The sequence below is a fragment of the Homo sapiens genome, chromosome 4, assembly GCF_000001405.40.
Source record: "Homo sapiens chromosome 4, GRCh38.p14 Primary Assembly".
NCBI classification, from domain to species: Eukaryota; Metazoa; Chordata; class Mammalia; order Primates; family Hominidae; genus Homo; species Homo sapiens.
This window is the reverse complement of record NC_000004.12, coordinates 31,702,060-31,729,518: the sequence shown is the minus strand read 5'-3', so window position 1 is coordinate 31,729,518 and position 27,459 is coordinate 31,702,060. Positions and strand designations below refer to the sequence as shown.

At 33.2% G+C, this 27,459-nt stretch overlaps 1 long non-coding RNA gene across 1 annotated transcript; it reads left to right on the top strand.

Annotated features, from left to right (window-relative positions):
* LOC105374566 (uncharacterized) lies at nucleotides 1-27,459 on the top strand. Its single transcript, XR_925555.1, has 4 exons — nucleotides 1-116; nucleotides 12,318-12,394; nucleotides 26,104-26,175; nucleotides 27,400-27,459. It is a non-coding gene; the product is annotated as an uncharacterized LOC105374566 (long non-coding RNA).

Sequence of the window (27,459 nt, the reverse complement as noted above, 5' to 3'; positions counted from 1 at the left end):
CAGGCGTGAGCCACTGCGCCCTGCCAGGCAATTCAGAGATTTTTGCAATATTGCTGCGTGGCCATACAGGTTTAAAGAACTTTGTCTTCTTAGAGCATTCATTCATCATGACAAAGGTACTGACTATAAATTTGAAACCTTCAAAACTATAAACTATTAGTATTAAATAATTATACAGGAAAGACATATTAAATTGCAATTAGAGAAAAAAAAAGAGGAGATAACCCCTTAATCTCTCTGTTGCTTAGTTAGTAAAACAAGGAGTTTGTTAGATATATTGAAGCGCATTTTATTTCTAATGTTTTACTGGACTGAGTCAAATTTCCTTTAGATAATGAATCACATTTCAAATATCAATTAATACTTCAAAAGAATCAGCTCAATGCATTTCAGTAATTTAGTAGATGTCAAATTAAGACTAAAATATTTATCAGGTGAAGGGGTGCCACTCTGGAAAGAGAATGAATAAAATCACTATACATTATAGGATACAATTGTGTAAATTTTTATTTGTTCATTAAAAGACTTGAAATTAAGAAAGATCAAAAAATATTGGGCAGACAAGTTATTTAGACCCTCTTTCCAAATAGCCCCAAACTAAAAGCTAAAAAAATTAAATGATACCTACTTGCTGCTAATATTCTATAATAGTATTCATATAAATTCATAGCTACTATTGCAATAGTAACTAATAGCACATGTATGATATAATAAATTATGTCTCTTAATTGAAGCTTTGTATATTTTCCCTTAAGCTCAAGTAAAAGTGATTTTGAAAATAATATATTGTGGAATTTCAAAAATCACACATCAAACTCTATATAGATAAATTATTCCAGAAACATGGTAATAAAAACAATTATGGTCTGTTAGGGTGGTAACTGGCATCCACAGGTACATTTTATAAAACCTAACATTTCATAGTTATAAATGTTAAAAATAAAAAATCAACTCAAACGTGAAAAAGACCACCTGGTTAAGAGAAAATATCAGCTCAGACTCTAGGTGAAGATAATGGGATTTAAAAAAAGAACATATTGAGAATACATTAAAGATGTAAGTCATGTGATATATATATATTTAAAATCTGCAGTCCTTGGAACTTCAGTCTGGACAAAAATGAATTTCATATAGCCTCATTAAATATTTAGCAACATTTGACACAAAGCCAAGAAAAAACCCAAACTTAATTTATACTTTTATTATAAAAAATTATTAGACCAAGCAGTGTGTTTTACTCTGCAGCAAAGTAATTAAGGAAAGAAAAAGAGAGGAATGAAATGGAAATGAAATTGCAAGTTAGATTGTGGAATAACACTCACTGGAGACTCAGAAGGGTGGAAGGTTGAGAGGGGGATGAGGGATGAGTAATTACTTAATCAGTACAACATATATTAATCGGGTGATGGTTACAGTAAAAGCTCCAACTTCACCACTGAGCAATATATCCATGTAACAAAACTACACTCATACTCCATAAACTTATGTTAGCAATGTGAAAATTAAACAAACAAAACAAAAAACTGCAGGATGAGTTGGATGGACCAACAGCTAAAAAGGGAAGAAGAATGAGAAAATGAGCTAGCATTAGAAGCAAACTTAATGTACTAACATTTTAAAAAAATTATCACAAGAGCTAAAAGGTCTGAAGTTATTCCCTTTATTTTGACTCAAATATTGAAGCACAGAACACTTAAGTAATTCTAAATAAGAGGTAGAGCAAGAGCTCCAACTCAGATATCTTTGACTCCCAAACACCAATGTTTTGTACTACAAGTGTACTGCAAAAAAGTACAATTATGGATCCTTTGAGGCACCATTCAAATTGAATAATTTAATTGATCATTTTATATGTAATAATCAGCATAATTAAAAATAACTAGTAAGAATTACCCCTTGAGCATATTATATGCCAGACATTGCTAATTTTCTCCAAAAAAATCTTTCTTTGACGGTTTACTTCCACCCTGCTTTTAACGTTGTACACATTCATTTACTCTGTGAAGTAGAATACATGAACAATGAATAAATATGAGTGGAAGAAAGAAATATGTATTATTTTTATTAGTGATTATTGAGAACTATAATATTTATATGATTAGTTATTTAGCCATATGTATTTTCAGTTAGAGCATGATAGTGTATTATTGTTTTGTTTATCTTCCCAGCAAAGAGGACATTTCACTTTGCAATGAGGATCCAGACAGCTCCTCAGCCTTGTTTTCCAAGAAAGACTTCATATGATGTCTTTTATCAATCTTCTTTCTAAATGTGCATGACATTTTCTGAGTGAAAATGTTTTGTCATGTGTAGCTATGGAATGAAGACCATAATATGATATTCATTACATTGACACTATCTTACTGAAGAAATCTTGCTTTAGAATTTCAAGATTTTTGTGTAATCTGACTCTGACATTCAGCATTAAATCCTCAAATTCTTTAAATCTATTCAGTGTGACTTAGATTTGCTCCTCCCTATCTAACGTTTGTATTATACTGGTCTGAATGAGATTGAATTAAGAAAAACAAATAATGTCATCATGTAAGAAATTTATATTGATGACATTGGTTGGAGAAACCCTGAAATACTAATACAGACACACACACACACACACACACACACACACACACACACACACACACATCTTTCTTTTACATCAAAGGGCAAGCTTTACTATACAGGAAAACACTCTTAGGCAAATATTCATGTACAAATATAAAAAAAAATCAAAAGAATCCATCCAATGTCCTTGATGTACCTTTTAAAATTATACATTTTTAATACCTATCTTGGAATTTAGAGCATGCTATTACCTTAACAAAAAGAAGGCAATATAATGTGATACATACAGAAGTAGTGCTTATCTTAAGCCAAAAGAGTAAGATCTACTATTGAGGTTAAAACAAGTTGAAAAAAAATCACTATTTATGGTGAAACTATCTGAGCCAATGTACCACAGAAGCAAAGCCAAACAAGGAAATTAAAAATATTTTTATTCAAAATGAAAGATTTAATAGTCTATTTGGTGAACTGAGCATTCCAAATTATAGGGATGTTAGTGTTATTTAGGGGAAAATATTTTATTGACAAATAAGTTTAAGCAACGTTTTATTAAATGATGTTTAATTAGTTTCTTTACTGCTAAACTTATCAGAACCCTTAATATGTCAAAGCGTATTGTAGAATCCAAGAACAGAACATATGTGTCTTTTTTAAAAAATTCAGAACACCAGTCACTGTGCAGAGAGTTTTGCCTGATCAGCAATCCACAAAAGTCACTTTGAAACATATGTTTATCACCAATATTATATGCAAATATATATAATTAGCCTAAATCAAACTATGTAAAAAAATGCAAAATGTAATAACAGTACATATAAGAGTTCTTCATAGTGCACAAGTACACTTTCTCTCACAATTTCTATCTTAGTAGCTGTTAATACAGTATTTCTTTTTATAACTTTCAAGAATGTTGAATGTTTTTATATTTAACTATTCAAAAAATAAGATGTTAATGTTGTCAATATATGGGGCCTTTTTAATGACACACTAGATTGAAAAATTCAAAGATAAATGTTGTATTACAATTCGTTAGCTATATAACCTGCTATTTGATAACTTTGTATTTCATTTTCACTTTATCCTATGAATGCAATTCCATAATTTATCCAGTTACAATGCTCTGCAAAGTAAAATAAATGATGATGATGATACTAATAATGATATGTTTTAAAAGCATAACATTACAAAAGCAAATTTTGATGCATATATGTAAAAAAATATTGGTAGGTTTGAAAAAAAGTCGTTTTAAAACATACTGGACTTTCGCAGTAAGTTCTGTAATTCTAAATTCCTCTTAAAAATATGGCACTCTTGAAATCCCAATTGCAGTTATTAATTATCGCTTATTTGCCCCTAGAATTACAGCCTTTGTCTGCAATCATTAACCTTTTGCTACATAAGACATTGAATTAATCAACTTTTGTCATTTAAGGACTTTTTTTTTACTTTAGTATCCCACTTCTCTGTCATTACCTTCCCTACAACAATCAACACAAGGAAACACACATACATGTGAATACACACACATGCACATTCTCCAGCTGGCCTTATATTTCCTCTTACCTACTTAGAGTTATAGTTTAACATCATTTCTCCACCCCACATTGTTCTTAAACACACTATTTCAAATATTTTTGAATTCTATTTTCTCATTAAAATCAACTGGCAATTTTTTTCCTTCCTTAATAATTTCCTTAAAATGAAGGTAGCATTTACATTTTAGTAAGGCATACAAAATCTTAATCCAACATAATTATAAAGAAGACAGTTTATGCATCTCCAAGGAGACTGTAAGGGGATAAAAATGGTTGTACATGAGCAAATGCTATTATTCCCAAAAATAAAACTAAAACAGATTCTATAGTCATTTAGATTGTAATTTCAAAATTAGACATAGGGTTTTGTTTGATATGCAACTCTATTTGAAAGCTACTCATATATCGTACATCTTTGCATCAAGATGTCTTTAAGTAATATAAAAGTAATATAAATATAACTAAATTGACTAGAGCGATACAGGATTGATGGGCTCACTTTAAAATCTGGGCATAGAGTGGGCTTGAGGTAATGATCAGTAGGGTTCTGGTTTAGCTTTCTGTATTTTCTTCTCTGCCCTCTTCCATATGTTGACTTCATTCTTAGGCTGTCTTTTCTCAGGGTCACCAAATGGCTGCAGCACTATGAAGGGAATATCACACTTCGTTCATATCCATAAGAAGATAAGGTGTCCCTGTCCTGTCACAACCATTAATTGTGCTGATATATCTATTGATTGAAACTTCCTTCAGGAATACTTACCTTTAGATAATGTGACATGCAAATAAGCTTAAATTTAAATTACCTGAACCAATAACAGCAGCCAGAGGAAAGCACTTGTCACCTTCACTCCACTCAAACCACAGGGGAACTAGCCCAAAGGTAGAAGTGTGAAATAACTGCAGCAAAGCAAAGCAAATATCTAGTAAAGATAAAAAAAAATAATAATAATAAAGACTAATGGTTCGGATTAGTTGAATTTTTATTTTCTTTAAAAAATGAATTACGTGGAGTGTAAATCATGTTGATATTAAAATCTCTATTCTAATATTGACTACAGATTTCCTCATGCTTCAAACTTCAACTCAGTATGTCTGTTTTGAGCCACTAAGTTCTATGTAGCCTGAGGTCTAGATATTATAATACCCTTTACTTGTTCAGTCATAAATATCTTCTTGTAGGTCATCTTCACATTTTAGCCAATGACATGAAAAACATGTTGTCCATGATGTGTGTCCATGATATTTAGATGTGTGCCCATGATATTCCTGTATTCCTTCACACATCATAAAAAAAACAATGACAGCATACTGTTAGGAAGTCTTCCTTTTGAGAGTTAATGGCTTTAAAAAAATAATACTCAATTGTAACTCCAGAAAATATATAAATTAATATAAATAATTTATATATTTATTTTATTTATCTTATTTTTTATATTATTTATATATTTATATTAAATAAAATAAATAATATAAAACATGTTATTTCATTTAATATTAGTAACTATAGGTAAATAAGTCATAAAGACTTAAGATCTTTTCAATATAGACTTTCTAATAAGCTCCCCTTAGTGTTAAATTTATTAACAGTATTATTAACAGTAGTGAGAAAATATATGCATATTCCACATATATATGTATATATTGTATATGTATAAACAAACACACATAAATATATATATTTGTGGGTGTATTTATAGATGATGAGATTATTTTATTTTCCATTCACTAAATACAGAGAGACTCATCAAACCCTCCCTTTAATTCTGTTCTGGCAAACTCTTATTCATCAATCAGAATTAACTCAGACATCACTTCTCTTTGATTCCTTTCCCGAACAACTCAGCCAGAGTCAGTCATGCCCTACCCTAATGCCTCTGTACTTTATCCCCATTTCTATAGTTAGCTTCATTGCACTTCATTGTAATTATTTGTTTTCACAGCTCTGACCCACTACACCAGGGCTAGCAAACTTTCTCTGTATAGAGCCAGATAGTAAATATTTTAGGCTTTGAGGACTGTGTACCCTGAGTTGTAACACTCACACCTGTTCTGTAGCACAAAAGTAGCCAGAGACAATATATAAGGAAGGGCATGGCTATGTTCCAAAAAGACTGTATTTCCACAATCAGGTGACAGATTGTATTTGGCCCACAAGCTTTTGTCCATAAGACTGACTATGGAGTTCTTCAAAGGTAGAATCTGAAGTTTTCAATTCTTTGCACCTTTGTTCTACAGCTGTAAGCATAAGTTTAAGCATGCAAAGGAGGTTTGAGAAATGTATTTTAATTTTAATTTAGTTGAATCAAATCACAGCAACTCAAATTCCAGTAATTTCCAACTGCCAGAAGTCCGGTGCTTAAAAATCAAGATGCGTGCTGTCCACTATATAGCCACTAGTGTTGAGTGGCTGTTTAATCTTGTTAATTAAAATCAAATAAAATTAAAAATTCAATTCTTCAGTCACACTAACCAAATTTTAAGGGCTCAATAGCTACACGTAGTTAATGGATACTATATTTAAATAGCATAGATATAGAACATATCCATCATTACAGAAAGTTCTATCAAGTAGTGCTGGCTTAGACAATGGGAACACTAAGACAAGTAGATAGCCTCAAAGAGGAATTCTGATGGTGCATAAAGTATGGCTCATGTCAGGAACCTCAAATGCATTCTCTGGGCATAATTTTCAAAAACTGAACTTGTAATATGCACAACACATAAAAGAGTGTGAATTCATTTAATAGTCAAATTAATTAAAAACATTTATTGTACTCTTTGAAGCAGAATTACTCAGAGACCTTTATGTCTGTGGGTGTTTGGGTGTATATGTGTTAGAAAAATTCAAGGTTCACAGTAGATGTTATAAAATTTTAAAAAATAACGGTTCTTTTCATCAAGTGGTTTCAACCTTATTGGGGAAGTATTGGGGAAATACGCAGACTATAACTGGGCTATTTTTTGAGTATGTGTATTCTATTCTTTGTATATGTCTCTCTCTATATGTATATATAATGCACTTATTATATATACAATATTATAATATATACAATACATATATTGTTCTTTGAAATACATAGATATTTGTTCAACGAATAAGATACACATTCAAGAAATAGAGATATCTGAATATATATAGATATATATGTGTGTATATATACATACATGTTTAAATCATAGGATAAGTTAAACAACTGCCTTTTAACATTTTACCTTTAATCTTCTATTCTTCAAGTCTGTATTTGTATCTCCAGCTTGATTTTTCCATGACCTAATTACTTCTCACCTTAGTTGCACTGATAATCTTCTAATCTGTCTTCTTAGAAGATTGCTACCATTAATCTGTCTTTTACCTAGTCATTTATGTGATAGATTTAGAAGGAAAGGAGAGCTACGTCATGTCAATGTTTATGAATTTTTAGTGGCTTCTCTCTGACTACCAGATTAAGTTGAGGCATTAATGGTCCTGCTCATTGTGGATTCAGTTCAGCATTCCAAATTACTCCTTAACCTTTATATCTTATACTCTTAAATTACTGAACTACTTATATATCCTAAGCACACTGTATTTGTGATTTTAATAATGTTGTTCCATTTCTCTATATATACTTCCTTTTATCCTCCTTTCTCTTGATTATAACTTACACATCCTTTAAGATTTATCCATTTAATTTATAACACTGCAGAAAGCTGCATATTTCTATTAAGAGACAATACAGAAAAAATGCAATTTAAATAATAATCTAAGTGCTTTATCAGGGAGGAGCACATAAAACAATCTTCAAACCATGTTTAGTGTAGAATGGTAAGAAAAGGCCCTCACTAAGCATGAAATTGTGACTACAAGCATGAATAGAAGTCAGTCAGATAAAAAGGAGAAAAGGATGTTCCAGTCAATCACAAGGAATAGCATGTTCAAAGGCATGGTCTGTAGTCTAGAGAAAACAAACAACAAACAAACAAACAGATGTTCCTGGATCTGCAAGTAATTTAGTAGACTTGTAGCAAAATTTCTGAGTTCAGATGAGAAACATCTAATGATGAAACTGGAGATATAATCAAGACCCTATTGTTGAGAGTTTAAATCCCATTCCAAAGAGTTTGAATTTTACCCTGAGTTCAGAGTATGGAAGAGTTTTAGGATAAAAAATATAGCAATTAAATATATGCTTCTAGAATCAATCTACGGAGACAAAACTAGTTTGGAAGATTTTTGTCTAATTAACTCAAGTACGTTGGTTATTCCGATTGGGTAAATCAGAGGTTATTAAAGAGGTGAAAGTAAAAGTGTTTCATGATTGGTTGGACATGCTGTGTAAGTGGCAGAAGAGCAATCAAGGAGCAACACAGACCTCTGGCATTGGCTAGTATTTGAATGGTGTTTTTATTTCATTCACTGAAAACACTGACCACTGAAGAAGAGATTATGTGTGTGTGTGCACGCATGCACACGTGCGTGTGTGTTAGGTATGAGAAAGAAGTGATGATGAGTTCATTTAATATGTTGATATTCCTTTGCTCATTCAAATGGATATGGCAATGGAGAGTAAGCAGTTAGATTCATAAATTTGTAACACAAGAGCATATAGGAATAGAGACATAGATTTTAGATGCATCAAATTGTAGATGAGACAGTAGGCTTTAAGAATGATTGATGTTAAATATTTTAAGGGCAGGTCATAAAAAGAAGTGTCTGAAGACATATTTGAATGGGAAGGAGGAAAACTATAAAAATATGGTGTCAGAGGAACCAAAGAAATAGAAGATGCCAAGAAGGAAACTGTGGTAGGAAGAATTCTAATATGGCCTCCAAGATTCCTAATCAGTGGTGGAAATGTCCTTTGATCTCCTCCCCTTGAGTGTGGGCAGGACCTGTTAATATGATAAATGTTGTCTCCCTTGATTAGATTACTTTATATGGCAAAGGTAATGGTATAGTCACTCTCTTTACGATTATTATTATTTAAAATTTTACCATAACAAATTGAAGGGCGATTGTCTTATTGACTTTGAAGAAGAAAACTGCTATGTTGTGAATAAGCCCTTATGGCTAAAACGTATCTCCTAGAAGAAGACAAAGATCTCTGGCTTATAGCAAGCAAAAAAAAAAAAAAAAAAAAAAACTCAGCGACCTCTCTCCTCCAACTATAATGTGCTTAATTCAACCAGCAACCTGAATGATCTTGGAAAAGGACCCTGATCTCTGGATGGGAATGCAGCTCAGCCAACACTTTGATTCCAGCTGTGTGAAACCCTCAGCAAATAACCTTGAGTTGCCATGACCTACAGAACTGTAAGATAATAAATGGATGTTGTTTAAAGATGATAAATGTATGTTACTAAATGTTTGGTAGAGTGTTATGCAGCAGTATAAAATTAACACAGGGATATTTCCAAATACTGAAAAAACATGAAACTAAAAGGTTATAATGGATTGACCAACAAGTTTTTAGGTGATGCCAGTGGAAGCAGTTTCATTGGAAAAGTGGGTAGAACTCGTATTTTACTATATAAAACAGAAAAAGGAAGAGAAAGAATGAGGATATTGATTATAAACCCCCCTTAAATTCTTCACAATGTAAGGATCAGAAACCTAGAGTAATATGTAGAGAGTGATAATTTTTGCCTTTATTTGTAAAGATGGGAGTTTATTATCATTAATATTATTATTGTTATTTGAAAGCAATAATTGGAGAAGATCCAATGAAGGGAAAATTGAAGCTATAAAGAGAAAGTGGGTTATATAAAATAAAAGAATTTATGTAGTCATAAGGGGATAATACAATATTAGGTGCTTGTAGTAGTCCATTTTCATGCTTCTGATAAAGACTGGGCAATTTACAAAAGAAAGCGCTTTAATTGAACTTACAGTTCTACATGGCTCTGGAAGCTTCACAACATGGCAGAAGGCAAGGAGGAGCAAGTCATGTCTTACATGGATGGCAGCAGGCAAACAGAGAGCTTGTGCAGGAAAATGCCTCCCTATAATAACCATCAGATCTCATGAGACTTACTGTCACAAGAAAAGCACAGGAAAGAACTGACCCCATGATTCAACTACCTCCCACTGGGTTCCTCCCACAACACATGGGAATTCAAGATGATATTTGGGTGCGGACACAGCCAAACCATATCAGTGCTCATGTAGAATTTTGACAATATCAAGAGAAAATGAGAAACAGAGGAAAGAAAATGCATTTATAATGGAAATACAGAAAAGAAGACACTTCTCATCTAATAGATTCTCCACTCTCAGTAAAGAAGGGAGCAAGTTCTTTTCTGCTGTAGGGGGCATTTCAGATTATGAGGTTGGGAGTTCAAATCCAAGCTCCAACTATTATCCATTACAGAACCTTGACATACTCCTTATCACTCTCACCTTCTTCTGTTTATCACTCAGTAAAATAAAAATAATAAAACCACTTCATGGGTTATTGAGAGGATGAAATGAGGCAATATTTGTGGTGGGTTTAGTAGATTGTTCAAAACATCAAATACTCAGTAAATTGTAGTTATTCTATTACTGGGATTGAGATAGTTTAGAAGGATAAGGAATTTGAGAAGAGTGGAGACAGTTTGAAATGCCCTTGTGAATAAGAGAGGCAGTTAAGTGGGAAGATATAAAATAATTCTTAAAACGCTTTTAGGTCTCAGGTGAGATAGGAGACAATGAATTTCTTCTGACACCAACATCCAGTGTTCTGTGATTGTTTTGTGCTGGCTATATCAAAGTTCCTGATACAGGAGAGGATACTGGGAAGTGGATCATGTAAGCAAGAAGGTAACATGGGTGTTCAGGATTGAAAGTACCTACAACAAAGCCAGGAAGGAGTGATAGAAAGAATTAAGTAGAGAGGTCAAGGTACAGAAATTCCCATGATGCCAAAGATACCTATGATAGGAATAACACATAAGAAGAAAATGGAAGATTGCCATCACTGATGTCAATGCTTAAATTTACACTTTTGGTGGTAAAATAGATAAATATAGATTAAGAAAATAACAATCAAAAAAATCCTGAATGTTGTCTAGGATTATGGCAAGAATTGAGGTTATAAGGAAAACCTGAAGGCAGGTATCAAAGAGTTTTAGGCACACATAAAATTGAACATGCCAGTTGATAGAAGACAATGGCAAGAAATGATGGGGGTGATGTTGTCAAATGTTGTTTAACCTCAAAGTGATATTTATCCTATTCCTGTAGTTTTTAATTTTAAAAGTATTTAAACAAAATTGGCAATGATACACACATTATTTTATGTCTGAGATTGAAAACTTTAGTAAAAAATTAAAGTTTGCTTTGTTTTGTGTGTTTATTAGTAGTAGCATTAATATTTTTATTATGTTTTGTCAAAACAGAATAAATATATTATGGTGAATATTATTTTAAGAATGACAACACTAAGAAGCTGAAATGTTGCTATTACTGCAAATGTTCATGAACACAGTGGCAAAATGTGAATCAAAAAGAGGTACTTTCCGAATGTTTAAGATATTTGGGAATACAAAAATGTTAGGTTGTCCTACACTATTTGATGTCTAGAGAGTACTGAGGTACAAAATAAACCTGATTTTCAAGTATCGATACATGAGTAGCAGTTCCTCATATTGCTCAGTCAACAGAAAATAAATCAATATGTTAGATCTTATAAAATTTATGCTATAGATTCAACATCTTTAGAGACTAATTTTAAAAAGTCTTCATGATGTATATATTTTTCTCTTTTAAAATCTGGAGAGACTGGGTGGTGGGGGTGAGGACTCTTTGTAGTACACTTCCTTAGATTTATTTTTCAGAAATAACAGTCTGAAGTCTTTTTATTCAACTAAGATGGCACCTGCAACCTCTTCCAGGGAGAAGCAATCCCTGCAATAAAACAACAAGTCTTCAAAGAAATATGTGTACCAAGGTAGAGCTAGAGGCTTATAACACACATGTTACACCTGTGTAGATAGCATGCCGTTTCAGAGTAGTTTGCAGTTTCCATTTCATGTATATTTTGAATTCAAACTGCTGACTAGTATTTTTGTCAGAAAGTGTATTTTTCCCAAATTTTGAAATTTGATTGCTTTTTCTAATTAAGCTGCACCTTTCATAAATGGTTTAAAAAAGAATTCTCTGTATGTGGCATCTAATCACTCAGTTCTGTTACTTACAGTGTCTTAGTTATAATTGAGAACAGCTTTGATATTCAAACTTAATGACTTTTACAGGATCAAGGACCCCCTTAATTATCTTTGGTATGGCTCAACATTGGTTTATCCTGCATGCCAACATTGGAATGATCAAGGTACTGCTTTCAATTTCTGAAACTATTGTTTCTCTCTGGATTATTTTTTAAAAAATTAAAATTGGGAGGTGTGTTTTGCTTATTTCTTTTCTCTTGTACCATTTATAACATCACAATAACAAACTCATAAGTAAAGCTTTCACTTTAGGCCCATGATAACAGTAATGTCCTAAATTAACTGGGGAATACCCTGGCTATTGCTATTTGTATGGTACAGGGTAGCTTTTGATGTTTATATGGTACAAGGTACGGATTGAGGATCTTTTTATTGGGTATGACTATACAATTGTTTTAGCATCGTTTTTTGAAGACTATCTCCATTCAATTGTCTTTACCCCTTTATCAAAAATTAATGGACAAATTAATTGTTTAATTTAATAATTAACTGATTAATTATACAATTAATATAAGTAATTCGTTTAATAACATACTGATTAATGATGCATGAGTCTATTTTTGGACTCTCTATTCCTCTCCACTTGTCTATGTTTATGCTCCAGTACTGTGGTTTTATAGTAAGTGTTAAAATTAGATGACATAAGCCCTTCAACACTGATCATCTTTTGGAAAGTCATTTACATTTCTACACAAATTTTAGAATCTGCTTGTCAATTTTTACAAAAACACCTTGTAGAAATTTGTTTGTGATTGTATTGAACATATAAATCAATTTAGGAATTTTTAAGAGCAAAAATAAGATTTTAACTTTCACCTAAACGTATGTTTCTGAAGAGTAAACTAAATATCTTAACAACTCGGATTAGACTTAGTTGGAGCATGGTTTATTGATTGATAAGTATTACTGATTCTTATTTAACATGCATTATGCACCAGACATTGTGTTGTTGGGTATATTACAAATAAAAATTGTTAAATGATGCACATTTAGATTGTTTTCATTTTTTGCTCTAATATGCAATGTAAACATGGACACTTTTATATAAGCATGTATAAGCTTAAATATTAAAATTTTGATAGAATTATTAGAAGTAGAATTGCTAGATGGAAGTTATGTGCATTTGAAATATAGGTAATAATTAAAATTACTCTAAAATTAATCTTTCCCAAACAGAAAATATTCCCATCGATCCTTACCCTTGAAACCACTTGTTATTTTCATTGTTTTATTTTTACCCTTTAAAGAACAAAATAACTATTTTATTTCTTATGACACAAATATTACTAAGAGATAATCATCTTCAAAGTATTTTTCTGCTAATATTTCTACATATTTATTTTTAGCCATTATCCTATTTTGTTATTTTCAATAATGCAGGAGTTTTTTGAATTTTATAATATCAATCTTTTCATGTTGCATAGTTTTTCATAGGTTATCGTATTTTTATTTGATATTTATTTTACTTCATTAATGCTTTATATATTTATAAAGGCAATTTTTTCGTGTTTTTGTATGTTTTGTTTTTTTATTTTTTGGCCTAGAAAAGCATTCTTCACTCTGTAAATAAAACACTCACACATTTCTCTAATATTTCCTTTAATGTATTAAATCACTATCACAATAATAAAGCACTGTTGCAAAAGATGTCAAATCTCAGTTACATTAAACACACATTTATTTTTCCTGCTCATGGGGCTGTAAATCAGCTGGTGTTCTGCTAGACTAAGCTGTGATTCATTGGTTTCATTCCAGGTTGTAGATTAGGTTCAAAGATGTTCTAGATTTTTTTTTATTCTGATGTCAGTGGCACTCCAGAGAAGTCCTTGCCATTGGTGGATGGCAGAAGCATAAAAACAAGCCAAAACTGCACAACCACATGTAAAGTTCCTACACACGTTTTACCTACTCATTTTGCACTAGGCAAATTGAGATGAGTGTTCCAGCCCAAATGAAAAAGGAGAGGTAACTGCATCCTCCCAGCGCTAAAAGCAGGGCAAGGACAGTAGGAAAGGAAAACTTACAATTATGTAATACAGCTGCCCACACACATTTCAAATTTTCACTTAGAATTCATTTTCATTTTGCACTTTATAGCTTTATTGTTATATATGATATTATGTAAGATCTATTTTATCAATAATATTTTGTATGTGTGTGTATACATATATATAAAATTTTATATATATTGAATTATTCCAACATGATCTATTGAGTCATGAACAACTGGATCTCTTATCTGCTTTTTTGAAATGGTTCAAAAATGTGATATGGTCAATATATGACCATTTCAAAAATCCACTTTTTTGAAAAGGTCATATATTGAAACCTCATATATGTTAATTCTAACCTCCCAGTAGGTTATTTGTCTATTATACCTACAAGAATGGTATTATATTCAATATAAATTTAGACTGGATGAAAAAGGTACCACTATATTTTTATTCTTTCCTCAAAATATTTATGGCTATTCTGAGTGTTTTTCTCTTTATAAGATGTAATGGTTAATTATATGTGTCGATTTGCCTAGCCTATATTACCCGTTTACTTAACCAAAGAAGAATCTCAGTGTTGTTATAAAGCTATTTGGCAGATGTAGTTAATATCTACAATTAATTGACTTTAAGTAAAGGGGATTATACTCAATAATGTAGGTGGGCCTCATTCAGTCAGTTGGAAGCTTGGGGAGCATAAACTGAGGTTTTCCAGAGACAGAAACATTCTACTTCAACACTGCAGCATCAAATTCTGCCCAAGTTTCCAATCTTAGAACAACTACTGATAAACTGGCTATGTAGAATCAGCTGTCAAGTTTCACATGACAAACCTGTTGGAAATAGCTTGGGAACTGCATTTAAATATAGACTAGTTTGGAGATAATTGACATCTTCACAATATAGAATTTTCTTGGAAAAGAAAATGGGATGATATCATTTGATTTACTTTATAGACTCAATAAAATTTTATGTATTTCTGGCCCAAACTGGTAATAGAAATAAACGAGCCTCTTTATAGTAGCACAAATGCTGTATCTATTAATTAACAAGCTTAACTGATGGTTGGTATGAAATTAAGATTCTTATTTTTCTGTATCTTTAGTTTGTATCCACCCATATTTTCAATTTTTCCAATTAAATTCCAGCTGCATATTTTGGATATTTTTAATAGAAAGACTATTATTAGGGAAGATGTCTCTTTTTTTTTCACTAAGAATATGTCCTTAGATTTAGAAGTAGCTGTCCAAGAATTACACTCTTGGACTTCCTCTGGCCTCACATTCACTTATTTACAGGGGAAAGAAAATGTGAATCACAAATAAGCCTTGTTCTCCTGGAATGAAAAAAAAAAGTATAGTGAGCATCTCCCCTTAATTGCATTTGACTATTTGTTAAATGGGATGTAGGCCCAGTCCATGAGGAAGCCTTGTGGTGGCATCCAGCATAACTTTTGATAAAGTGTGTCATTTGATTTCTGAATTTCTATTATAAGAAAGACATTTGTTGCAATTATAACCACCATTTTTCAGTACTGGAAGGTAATAGATTTCTTCCTTGTCTTGTATGCTTCTGTTTGTTTCTCAGTGTTTCCAGAACTCAGGCAGTGAGATGAGTTATTAATTGAATTCCCTAGGTATCCACTGAAATAGAAAGCATCTATAATTAATGATATTATTTCTCTTATTTGTTTCTTATCTTTTGCATTAAATATGATTACTAGTAATATTGTAAGAAGGAGCTAAAATAGGAGGCTGTTTTATCTGATCTTGGGATGACCTGATTTTAAATCACAGAAAGGTTATATTTGCTATAAGATTCTGGTAGCTTGCATTTATCAATTTTGAAATACTTTCAGTAAATCTTGCTTATAAAATTGTGATTATATTGTTATGAATGTAATATATTTGCTCTATGATATTAAGGTGATTTTCTTTAATATATTGAAACTTCATTAAACAGTAAATTGTGTGGCTGTGCACAGACGTATGTACATGCAAAAGCAAAACATTGCAATGAGCTCTCTGACTCAGACAAATTTGTTAATATGTATTGCTAGTTTGGCTGTCACTTCATAAATTAATTGTCTTTTTAGGTAGACTGTAAGGATGTAGAGGTTTTTTTAAAAAAAATCGCATTAAAAAAATTATTTTCTAGCACTATGTCTCACCTCCATGTTCCTCCTTTTTACTTACGTGTGTTTTTAAAAAATGAGTGCTGCTTTGAATGTAAGTAGTTAGTACTTCACATAAATGTTAGTCATTTTCTGTTTTGTAAGCATCCAGTCTAACACTGGCCACCTTTTTCCTCAAACACACCAACAGCTTCTGTCTTAGGATGTCTGCCCTTGCTTGATTCTGGCTGGAAAGCTCCTCCGTTAGACTGAAGCACAATTACTCCGTCAACCCCTTTAGGTCTTTTCTTAAATGTCGCCTTCACTGACTGTATTAGTCTGTTTTCATACTGCTATAAGTAACTGCCCAAGACTGGGTAATCTATAAGGGAAAGAGGTTTAATTGGCTCACCGTTTCACATGGCTGGGGAGGCCTCAGGAAACTTACAATCATGGCGGAAGGTGAAAGGGAAGCAAGGCACCTTCTTCACAAGGTGGCGGGAAGAAGTGCTGAGTGAAGGGGAAAGAGCCCCTTTTAAACCATCAAATCTCATGAGAACTCAAGATCACGAGAACAGCATGAGGGAAACCACCCCCATGATACAATTACCTCCACCTGGTTCTGCCCTTGGTATGTGGGGATTATAGAGATTACAATCTGAGGTGAGATTTGAGTGGGGCACAACTTCTCTCCTTCCCTGGTTTATTTTTCTCCTAATCTCCTATTATGCTGTAACCTATGCTGATTTTAGCTACAGATGTCATTTACTTTCTATCTCTCCAACTAGAAAACGAGATATCCATGAAGGCAAAAATTTTTATTTATTTACTTTTCTGCTGTTTTATTATCACAATGAACAAGAACTTAATGGCTAATTTCTTACATATTTATTGTTTAAATGAATGAATGGAGAAATCAATAAATCTAGTTTGGTAAGAATTCAATTATCTCTTTTTAATTTAGAAATTATTAAGTATGACTGAAAGCTATTAGTACCTGTTCAATATTCTACTCCATAGAAAAACAAAACAACAAAACAAAATAAGCAATAAAATTTTTTTTGTCATCTTGATCTGTCTTTTCATAATTTAGCGATGATTTTAGATATGTTATCTTCTCATTAAAAATTGCTTAGAGATTACTAAAAATAGGAATAAATAATTTATCCCTGTAGTGCCGCTGAAAGCATAGAATACCACGGACACAGAGCAAAATGTATATTTAAATGTAATACAAATTACAAATTTATATTTAAAATCTTTCCATTTACAAAGTTTTATGTACCTGCACAATGGACACTTACATACATATCTCTGCATAATATGTACAATTTGTGTGCGAGGAAGCAAATCTGTTCCCATGAACTGTATTTTCTAGCAGGAGATATAGACAATAAACAATAGAAATTATTAAAATAACATATAGGACCTATTTTTCTGGAACAAAAGTAATGCAAATCATACTAAATCATAGATTTATATTTTTCTCCAAAAAGTGGAACAAATTTAGCAACAATTTTTCTTTTAACTAAGATTGCATTAATTTTGTAACATATGACACTGTTTATTAGCATACTGTGAAACATTACCATAGATGATTATAATTAAACTACACTTATCAAAATAATGAATAAAGCACATTTTGTGGTACAGCAGTGTTGATGTTTTCATATTTATTTGTTCACTAACTAATCTGCCAAATTCAGTAGTCTCTAGTGAGTCTCTCAGTTATTAGTGTAAATTACTGAGGGTCTAGTATAATAATAAATAATAGCAATTCTGGGAAACAAAGCATTAGCAGTGTAATGTCTAAACATTTTTGTAGAAAATATAAATTAAGAACACAAGGAAACGTTTTTCATTCAATTAGAGTATGTTTCCAGAGGGTTATAAGGCAATTTAAAAGGCTGTATATAATGGATATATCAAAGCCCCTGGATTTTAATATTGTGAAAAAGTATTTAAGATATTTTAAAGGAGAGGATTGGTTACAGAATGCATCATCCAAAAGGGAGGACACAACATGAAAACATCTCTAAATCTAAGATGCTAAAATGTCTTTCATTAGTTCATCCACTTTCTTAACACTCTTAAACTGGAAACTATTGTGCCTAAATTCTAGTACACAGGTGTCATGACTACTGACAAAATCCAGACAGTGTATTAATAAATAAATGTTTTTTAAAAAATTTAACAAACGTCACTTAAGCACCTGCTATGTGCTCAGCACTCTTCTAGACCATGGTGGTACAATACTGAATAAAACAAAACAAATTATCTGCATGTGTGTAGTTGAAGAGAAAAGTAAGATAGATAACTAAAAGAATACACAACCTTGACTGATATAGTGTTAGATGGTGTCAAATATTAAAGAGATAAAGCACATAAGAGGATAGAAATAATACAGTGAAGCATTTGCTTCTCTGCCACGTTTGGTTGCAGCCTTATGATACAATAAGGCTGCTCAGCCTCGTGCCTTCATGTCTGTCTTCCAGCCAACAAGAAAAAGGAAAGAAGTAAGGGAGCCTGTCTAAATTTAAAGGTTTGTGGTGATAATTAAATTGTAAAAAATAAAATATAAAAACTTTGCTGAGCTCATGTGAGACATCTGCTTACATATCTTTGAGTTGAATGCCCATTGCATGACCTCCCCTGTCTTGAAAAGAGACTGGGAAATACACTCTTTATTCTAGGTATCTGTTTACACACAGAAAAATCAGGACTTTTATTAGTAAGGATCAAGGGAAGATACTGTGGGCACAGGAACTCTTGATACAGAGCATTAGGTATAAAAGAACCCCAAGTGGAAGAGACTCTTTTAAACATGGATCTTGAAACTAACTTGAAAATTAACCAGGTCAAGAATAGTTGAAGGGAAGTATAATTGAGACAAAGGAAAAAGCACATAGGCATGAGTGAGCTTGGTACATTTAATAAACTCTCAGACCTCCTTTGTGGTACAGATGTTTGACAATGCTCAATAATAAATTAGGGCTCAGAAAATATAGAAGAGCTGAATAAATAGATTTGAGAATTATCCGCATATAGTTAATTTTGAAATGATGAATGCAATGAAATTACCAACTAGAATATGTAGAGAAAGATAGGGGTCATATGTAAGTGTTGCCTAAAAAAGAGAAGAGTGTAGAAAAGAAAAAGAGAAATCTGAGAGGAAATAAAATAATTACTATATGGAAAAGTTAGTATTAGCATACTTAATATTAGAAGAATCGTTAAGTGTTGCCTAAAAAAGAGAAGAGTGTAAAAAAGAAAAAGAGAAATCTGAGAGGAAAGAAAATACTTATTATATGGAAAAGTTAGTATTAGCATACTTAATATTAGAAGAATCATCAGAGACACATAATACTAAGAAGAAAAACTTGATAAAGAAAATGAGAAGTAGAGCTAGGATGAACAATGGGATAATGCCATTGAATTTATCTTTGGGGCATTCACTAGTAACTTTTGAAACTTTATTTTCTAAAGAGTGTTCATTTAAAAATAGATTAGAAGGCATTAAACAGCAGATGTGGGGTGCAACTTAATGTTAATATTGGTCCACAGGTCAGCCTCTAGAATCAGACTTTTGTCAGAATTTCAGCAACAGCACCAACAGAAAGTCAAATTTTTGAATAAGAAATTAACTTCTCCTTGCCCCCATTTTCAACACGTAGATTAACTATAATAGTACCAATTTCAAAATTTGTAATGAAGATACAAGGGAATGATATATGTAAAAGTTTTTAGAATTATGCCAGGTTCAAAGTTGTAGGACAAATGCAATGTTGCAGATAAATGAATAAGAAAAAAATACAATAACGGATATTGAATTGATCTTTAAAGAAACAAGAGGTGATAACTTCAAGGGCATGATTAGATGGTGGATTTTGTAGAATATGATTAAGTAGTCTTTTTGTCTGCAATAAAGAGAAACTGAGAAGAGATAGAAACTTTAAAGCAGAAGGAAAAATAATTAATGGGGTTTACAATGAAATCTTTTTAAAGGCCAGCAAGACTTGTTCATTCAACAAACAAATATGTACTCTGCTCCAGGCACTAGGAAAGGCAATGTGAATACGAGGCACTTGATGCCTCTAGAAAGTAATGGAGTAGGATGAAGTTGAAGGCCTAGGGATTTCAAAAAAATATTTGGGAAACAGGTACTATGGGTAGAAGGTGAAATAAAGTGTGTAAAGATTAGGAGAAAGCTGCAGAAGGAAGAGAATGAATGTATACTGGGCACACGCAGTGTGATTTGATTACTTTAGTCTAATAGTTTAAAATTTCTCCTCTGTTTTTACAGAGACATTCAAATCAAGTTAGTGAGGGGAAAAAGGATAGATAGAGGGAGAGATAGAGAAAGAAAATGAAATTTAAACAAGTGAAAAACTCTACCAAAGACTTCATAATTTATTCCAGCCCCTGTCCTTAGTCTCAGTTCCTCATATTACATTTTGAAGGCTTTTTTGATCTGGAGAATAATGAGGACATTCGCTAACCCTTGGTATGAGAAAGGCCTTTGGGTATTTTAAGAATGTGCTATTCTACTTTATTATAATGATAGCTTTTTCTAACAGCAAGGGGCCTTGACTGTATAATTTCCCATGTCTTTCTGTGGGTGACCTCCTGTTCAGACCAAGTCAGCTCATTTCATATTATACTCAATGATGACTGGGAAACTCTTGCAGCTGGGAGGTTACTCCTTAATTATAGACAGTGTATTATTCTTTAGAAGTATGCAGTCAATTTTTGGAAAGATCTCTAATGGCTTTTTAACTTTCTTAGGTCCTTGGTCTCGTACACATAAATAAATGTGATTCTGAAGAATGCCGTTGTTTTTTATTGTCTTTAAAAATAACCATTATTCATTCTCTGATCAGGATTCCTTCGTTATGATGCTACATTTCAATATAGTGAATATGACTCAATAATTTCAGATAATTCTATAAACATGTATATGGGTCACATGTATTCAGGCTTTGAGTCATATTCACTGTATTGAAATGTAGCATCAAGAAGAGGGAACCCATTCACACACATATATGGGTGTGTGTGTATATATACACACCCATGCTTTTATAAAGGGATGCACTTTTTACATATCTAAAAATAACAAAACAATAAAGAAAACCACCACAGTGTGCTTAGCCCTAAGAATAAATGACTAGAAAGTAATCAAAAACTGATAAATCACTGGAGATAATGTGATGAAGGCTCTGACACTATATATCAAAACCACATGAATTTGTACTTATATGTTCATACTTTCTTCACAATATTTCTCATATACTTTCATTTCAATCACAATGACAGTTCTTGAGGTTAGGTCTTTTTGTGTCATGCCTAAATTGTTCAAACAACCCTCTAATGTAATCTCCAAGACTTTGATCTCTTCCCATAAACCGAGTCTTGAACATTACCACCAGATTTATATTATTGATACAATTTTGATATTATGTCACTATTTTGGATAGTGTTTTTCAATAATGCATTCATTAGTTTAATCATTTGTTCAGTCTGCCATTTGTGATACAGAACTAAGTCTTAGTGTTTGATACTAAGAATGAGAAGTGATTTCCTTCAAGGAATGTACAAGTTAGTAGCTTGATGCTTTTCTGAGAACACATCCAAATTGCTTCACTTATGTTTATGCAAGCCCCCATTACTTAAATTTTAGCACCAACATGCTTACTTAAACTGATCATCTGCATTTCAGAAAGTCTGCCCTACACTCTGCCTCCTAATTCTTTCTGGCATTTCTTTTTCCTTGAATTCCCCCACTCTATGTACTAAAATATTTACCTTTAAAAAAATAGCTCAGGCACCACTTTTGCATTTAAACTTACCCTGATCATATTATTTTGAATTATTTCAAAATAAAATAATGCCAATAATAATACATAGTTCATAATTAGAAGTGTTTAGCATGTATACAGCACTGTGCTAAAAGCTTTACTTGGGTTATCTTTTTAATACTTGAAACAACTGATTTATTAATTCAACAAATATGTATTGGACACTTATAATGTTCTATAAACTGACCTGAAGCTGGGATGCAACATAGACATTGTAATGAACCAGTCAAAAGGACAATTATGCTATGGAGCTTACCTTCCCAATTGAGGATGCAAGCAAATAAATAGGTAGATAATTGCAGGTAGTGATAAAACTCTGAGGAAAATAGAAAGACCAAACTTCTTTAGGAATATTTAATGTGACTGTTATGTTTGTGTTCTAAACTCCAAAGGAATGTGTGTGTGTGTGTGTGTGTGTGTGTGTGTGTGTACTTTCTTTTAACCTAAAAATATTTATTTGCATTTTTAATCATACTCATTGACTGTTTTTTTCTAGATTTAAAGTCCTTATGATGAGGATTCACATGCGGAATATTAGTCATCTGTGTTTTTGTTGCATTACCTACACTAGTATCCTGTACTAAACAAACCTTAACTAAAGGAATGTATCCAAGTTTTCATATTAAATGCCACAGTTTAGGGTTGTTTCTAATAAATGAAGACATATTTTTAAAATCACTGAATTAAAAAATAAATGTAATGAACTAAAGAAGTACTTTTCAAACATATGCCAAAAACTTAATTGATAATTTTATTATATTTTTTCTATTTACCATTGTAATACCAAGGAACAAAACTGAAAGACACGTGGAAACCACAATTGAGAATATTCAGTCACCAACATTTTTTATGTTTGAAATTTATCAATGATTCCATTTTGCTTTATAGCAGGTTTACTTGCTAAGAAATACATTGTGAACATTTTTCCATGGCCATAAGATCATGATCATGATTGAAAACATCCCATGACACAGAAAAACAAAACACATTTCTTCCATTTTTATTTGTCCTAGGCCTTGTGATATGGTTTGGCTATGTGTCCCCACCCAAATCTCATCTTAAATTCTACTCCCATAATACCCACATTATGGGAGAAACCCAGTGGGAGGCAATATGAATCATGGGGATGGTTTCCCCCATACTGTAGTAGTATATAAGTAGTATATTCACTTATAGTGAATATACTTACAGTAGTATATTCACTTATAGTGAATATACTTACAGTAGTATATTCACTTATAGTGAATATACTTACAGTAGTATATTCACTTATAGTGAATAAGTCTCACAAGATCTGATGGTTTTATCAGAGGCTTCCGCTTATGCATACTTCTCATTTTCTCTTGCCGCTGCCATGTAATAAGTGACTTTAACCTCCCGCCATGATTCTGAGGTCCCCCGAGACATGGGGAACTAGAAGTTCAATTAAATCTCTTTTTCTTCCCAGTCTCAAGTATGTCTTTATCAGACGCATGAAAATGGACTAATACAGTAAATTGGTACCAGTAGAGGGAGGTGCTGCTGAAAAGATACCTGAAAATGTGGAAGTGACTTTGGAAATGGAAACAGGCAGAGGTTGAAACAGTTTGGAGGACTCAGAAGAAGACAGGAAAATGTGAGAAAGTTTGGAAGTTCCTAGCGATTTGTTGAACGGCTTTTCCCAAAATGAGGATAGCAATATGGACAATAAGATCCAGGCTGAGGTGGTCTCAGATGGAGTTGAGGAACTTGTTGGGAACTGGAGCAAAGGTGACTCTTCTTATGTTTTAGCAAAGAGACTGGTGGCATTTTTCCCCTGCCCTAGAGACTTGTGGAATTTTGAACTTTAGAGAGATGATTTAGGATATCTGGCAGAAGAAATTTCTAAGCAGCAAAGCATTCAAGAGGCGACTTGCGTGTTGTTATAGGCATTCAATTTTATAAGGAAAGCAGAGCCTAAAATTTCAGAAAATTTGCAGCCTGACAATGTGATAGAAAAGAAAACCTCATTTTCTCTGGAGAAATTCAAGCCAGCTGTAGAAATTTGCATAAGTAACAAGTAGCCGAATGTTAATCCCTAAGACAATGGGGAAAATGTCTCCAGGGCATGTCAGAGGTCTTCATGATAGCCCCTCCCATCACAGGCCCAGAGGCCCAGGAGAAAATGGTTTCATGGGCAGGGCCCAGGGTCCCTGTGCTGTGTGAAGTCTAGGGACTTGGGACCCTATGTCCCAGCCACTCCAGCCTTGACTAAAAGGGGCCAAAGTACAGCTCAGGCTGTTGCTTCAGAGGATGAAAGCCCCAGGCCTTGGCAGCTTCCATGTGATATTGAGTCTGTGGGTGCACAGAAGTCAAAAATTGAGGTTTGGGAACTTCTGCCTAGATTTCAGAAAATGTATTGAAACGCCTGGATGTCCAGGCAGAAGTTTGCTGCAGGAGCAGCACCCTCATGGAGAACCTCTGCTAGGGCAGTTCAGAAGGGAAATGTGGGGTCAGAGCCCCCACACAGAGTCCTACTGGGGCACTGCCTCGTGGAGCTGTGAGAAGAGGGTCACAGTCCTCAAGACCCCAGGATAGTAGATACACTGACAGCTTGCACCTTGCACCTGGTATAGCCACAGACACTCAACGCCAGTACATGAAAGCAACCAGGAGTCCGTGAAAGCAACCAGGAGTCCATGAAAACAACCCTGCAAAGCCATAGGGGCCAAGCTGCCCAAGACCATGGGAACCCACCTCTTGCATCAGCATGACCTGGATGTGAGACATGGAGTCAAAGGAGATCAATTTAGAGCTGTAAAATTTGACTGCCCTGCTGGATTTCAGACATGCATGGGCCCTGCAACCCCTTTGTTTGGGCCAATTTCTCCCCTTTGGAATGACTGTATTTACCTAGTGCCTGTACCTGCACTGTATCTAGGAAGTAACTAGCTTACTTTTGATTTTTTTAGGCTGATAGGTGGAAGGGATTTGCCTTGTCTCAGATGAGACTTTGGACTGTGGACTTCTGGGTTAATGCTGAAATGAGTTAAGACTTTGTGGTACTGTTGGGAAGGCATGATTGGTTTTGAACTGTGAAGATAGAGGGGCCAGGGTGTGTCCCCACCCAAATCTCAGCTTAAATATCACTCTCATAATTCCCATATGTTGTGGGAGGGACCAGGTGGGAGATAATTTGAATTGTGGGGGCTTCCCCCGTACTATTTTCCTGGTAGTGAATAAGCGTCACGAGATCTGATGGGTTTATCAGGGGTTTTTGCTTTTGCATCCTTGTTTTCTCTTTCTGCTGCCATGTAAGAAGTGCCTTTTGCCTTCAGCCATGATTCTGAGGCCTCCCCAGCCATGTGGAACTGTAAGTCCAATTAAACCTCTTTTTCTTCCCAGTCTCGGGTATGTCTTTATCAGTAGTGTGAAAATGAACTAATACAAACTATATATTTGTAGCAAAAACTAAAATAGTGGTAAGTCTTCCACTTCCACTTCCATAGTCAATGTATGTGTGTCAAAATTTTAAAAGATAAATGGAGATTTTAAACAATTCATCATCAAGTAATGAGGAAAATTATTGAAATTCAATGCACATAAACTAAAGCACATTTTGTTACCACTAGAATGTACTCACATGAAGCTAAATTTAGATTTTAGTGTACACATTCATATTTACTCTCCACCTTCAGTAATACATGATTATGATTTAGCTTATAAAAATTATATTTGCTTAGCCACTTGCTGCTTCATTATTAAGATTTGCATGGAAATAGATTATAAACAAATTTTATTCATTAAAGTAAGTAAAAGTCTTCAATAATTTTCAAAGCAATTCAGGTTTTGTCTTCTCTCTCTCACTATTCTTTTTCTCCTATCTCTTCTAGTTAACTAGCAGTTTCCTAAGCATGAATTATCTTGATGTGCGAATGTCTATACTCACACTTGCTTTGTAAATTGTAAGTACATAGCAACAATATATTGAAATTAGAGATGCTGCAGTTGTATTCTTAAATTTAAATACCAGTGTTGTCGTTTAAAATGCAAGGCTCTTCTATTGTAATGTTTTAAAGGAATATAGCTGTTGGGCAGTGAGTTCAGAGTTTTAATGTTTCTTTATTTTTATTTATTTATTTATTGAGACAGAGTTTCACTCTGTCATCCAGGCTGGAGTGTAGTGGCACAATCTCGGCTCACTGCCACCTCCACCTCCCAAGTTAAAGCCATTCTTATGCCTCAACCTCCCCAGTATCTGGGATTACAGGTGTGTGCCACCACAGCCGTCTAATTTTTGTAATTTTGGTAAAGCTGGGGTTTCTCCATGTTGGCTAGGCAGGTCTCAAACTCCTGGCCTCAAATGATCCACTGGCCTCAGCCTCCCAAAGTGCTGGGATTACAGGCATGAGCCACCAAGCGCAGCCTAATGTTATTTTAATAACAGTCCTGCAGATACATAAAGGAAATTTCTTCCAACATTGGAAAAAAAATCATGATTTATTGTGTTCTCTTAAATTGTTGCATGGGTTATCATTCCTTTGTTTTTACTATTTAGTCTTTGTGACATTTTAAATTTTCAATCTGACTCTTCTAAATGATTTCTGAATGCACATACATAAGAATATCATAAAACATACCATTATGCTTTTTCTCCCTCCATACATAGATGGATATGTAGTTATCGTTATCTCCTGATTTCATAGTTACTTAATATTAAACTTGCCAGAGCACACAAATCTTCATGTCTGCAAGATCTGGCAAAAGATTTGAGTTCTCTGTGGTAATCATAGAAAGAATTCAAAGCACTAAGTTGGTTTTGCTGTGCTGTTTCTAATTTCTTTGACTTTGGAAATAGTGGGAGGAGATTATGAAATAATTTTATTTTAAAAAGTCAGACAGAAAAATGTTCCCGTTTTTTATGGCAAATGTTGAAGAAGCAATTCAAATACATTCAGTACATTCAAGATCCTCCACTTAAAATATTTTCTACGCAAAGAAAATGTTATCTGATATTCACAACAAATAAGCAGATCACTGGGGAAGAGCAAACAGGAGCAGCAGCAACAACAATAAGAATGGCCATTTATCGATGACTGACTCTTATCAGGCACTATGTTAAGAATTTTAAGGACATGTTTTAATTAATTCTTAACCATGAAGCAGCCATGGTTTTCTCTATTTTACAGATGAGACAATCATGGCTCAAGAAAAGTTAGATAGCTTGTCAAGTTCCACACAGCTAAGAG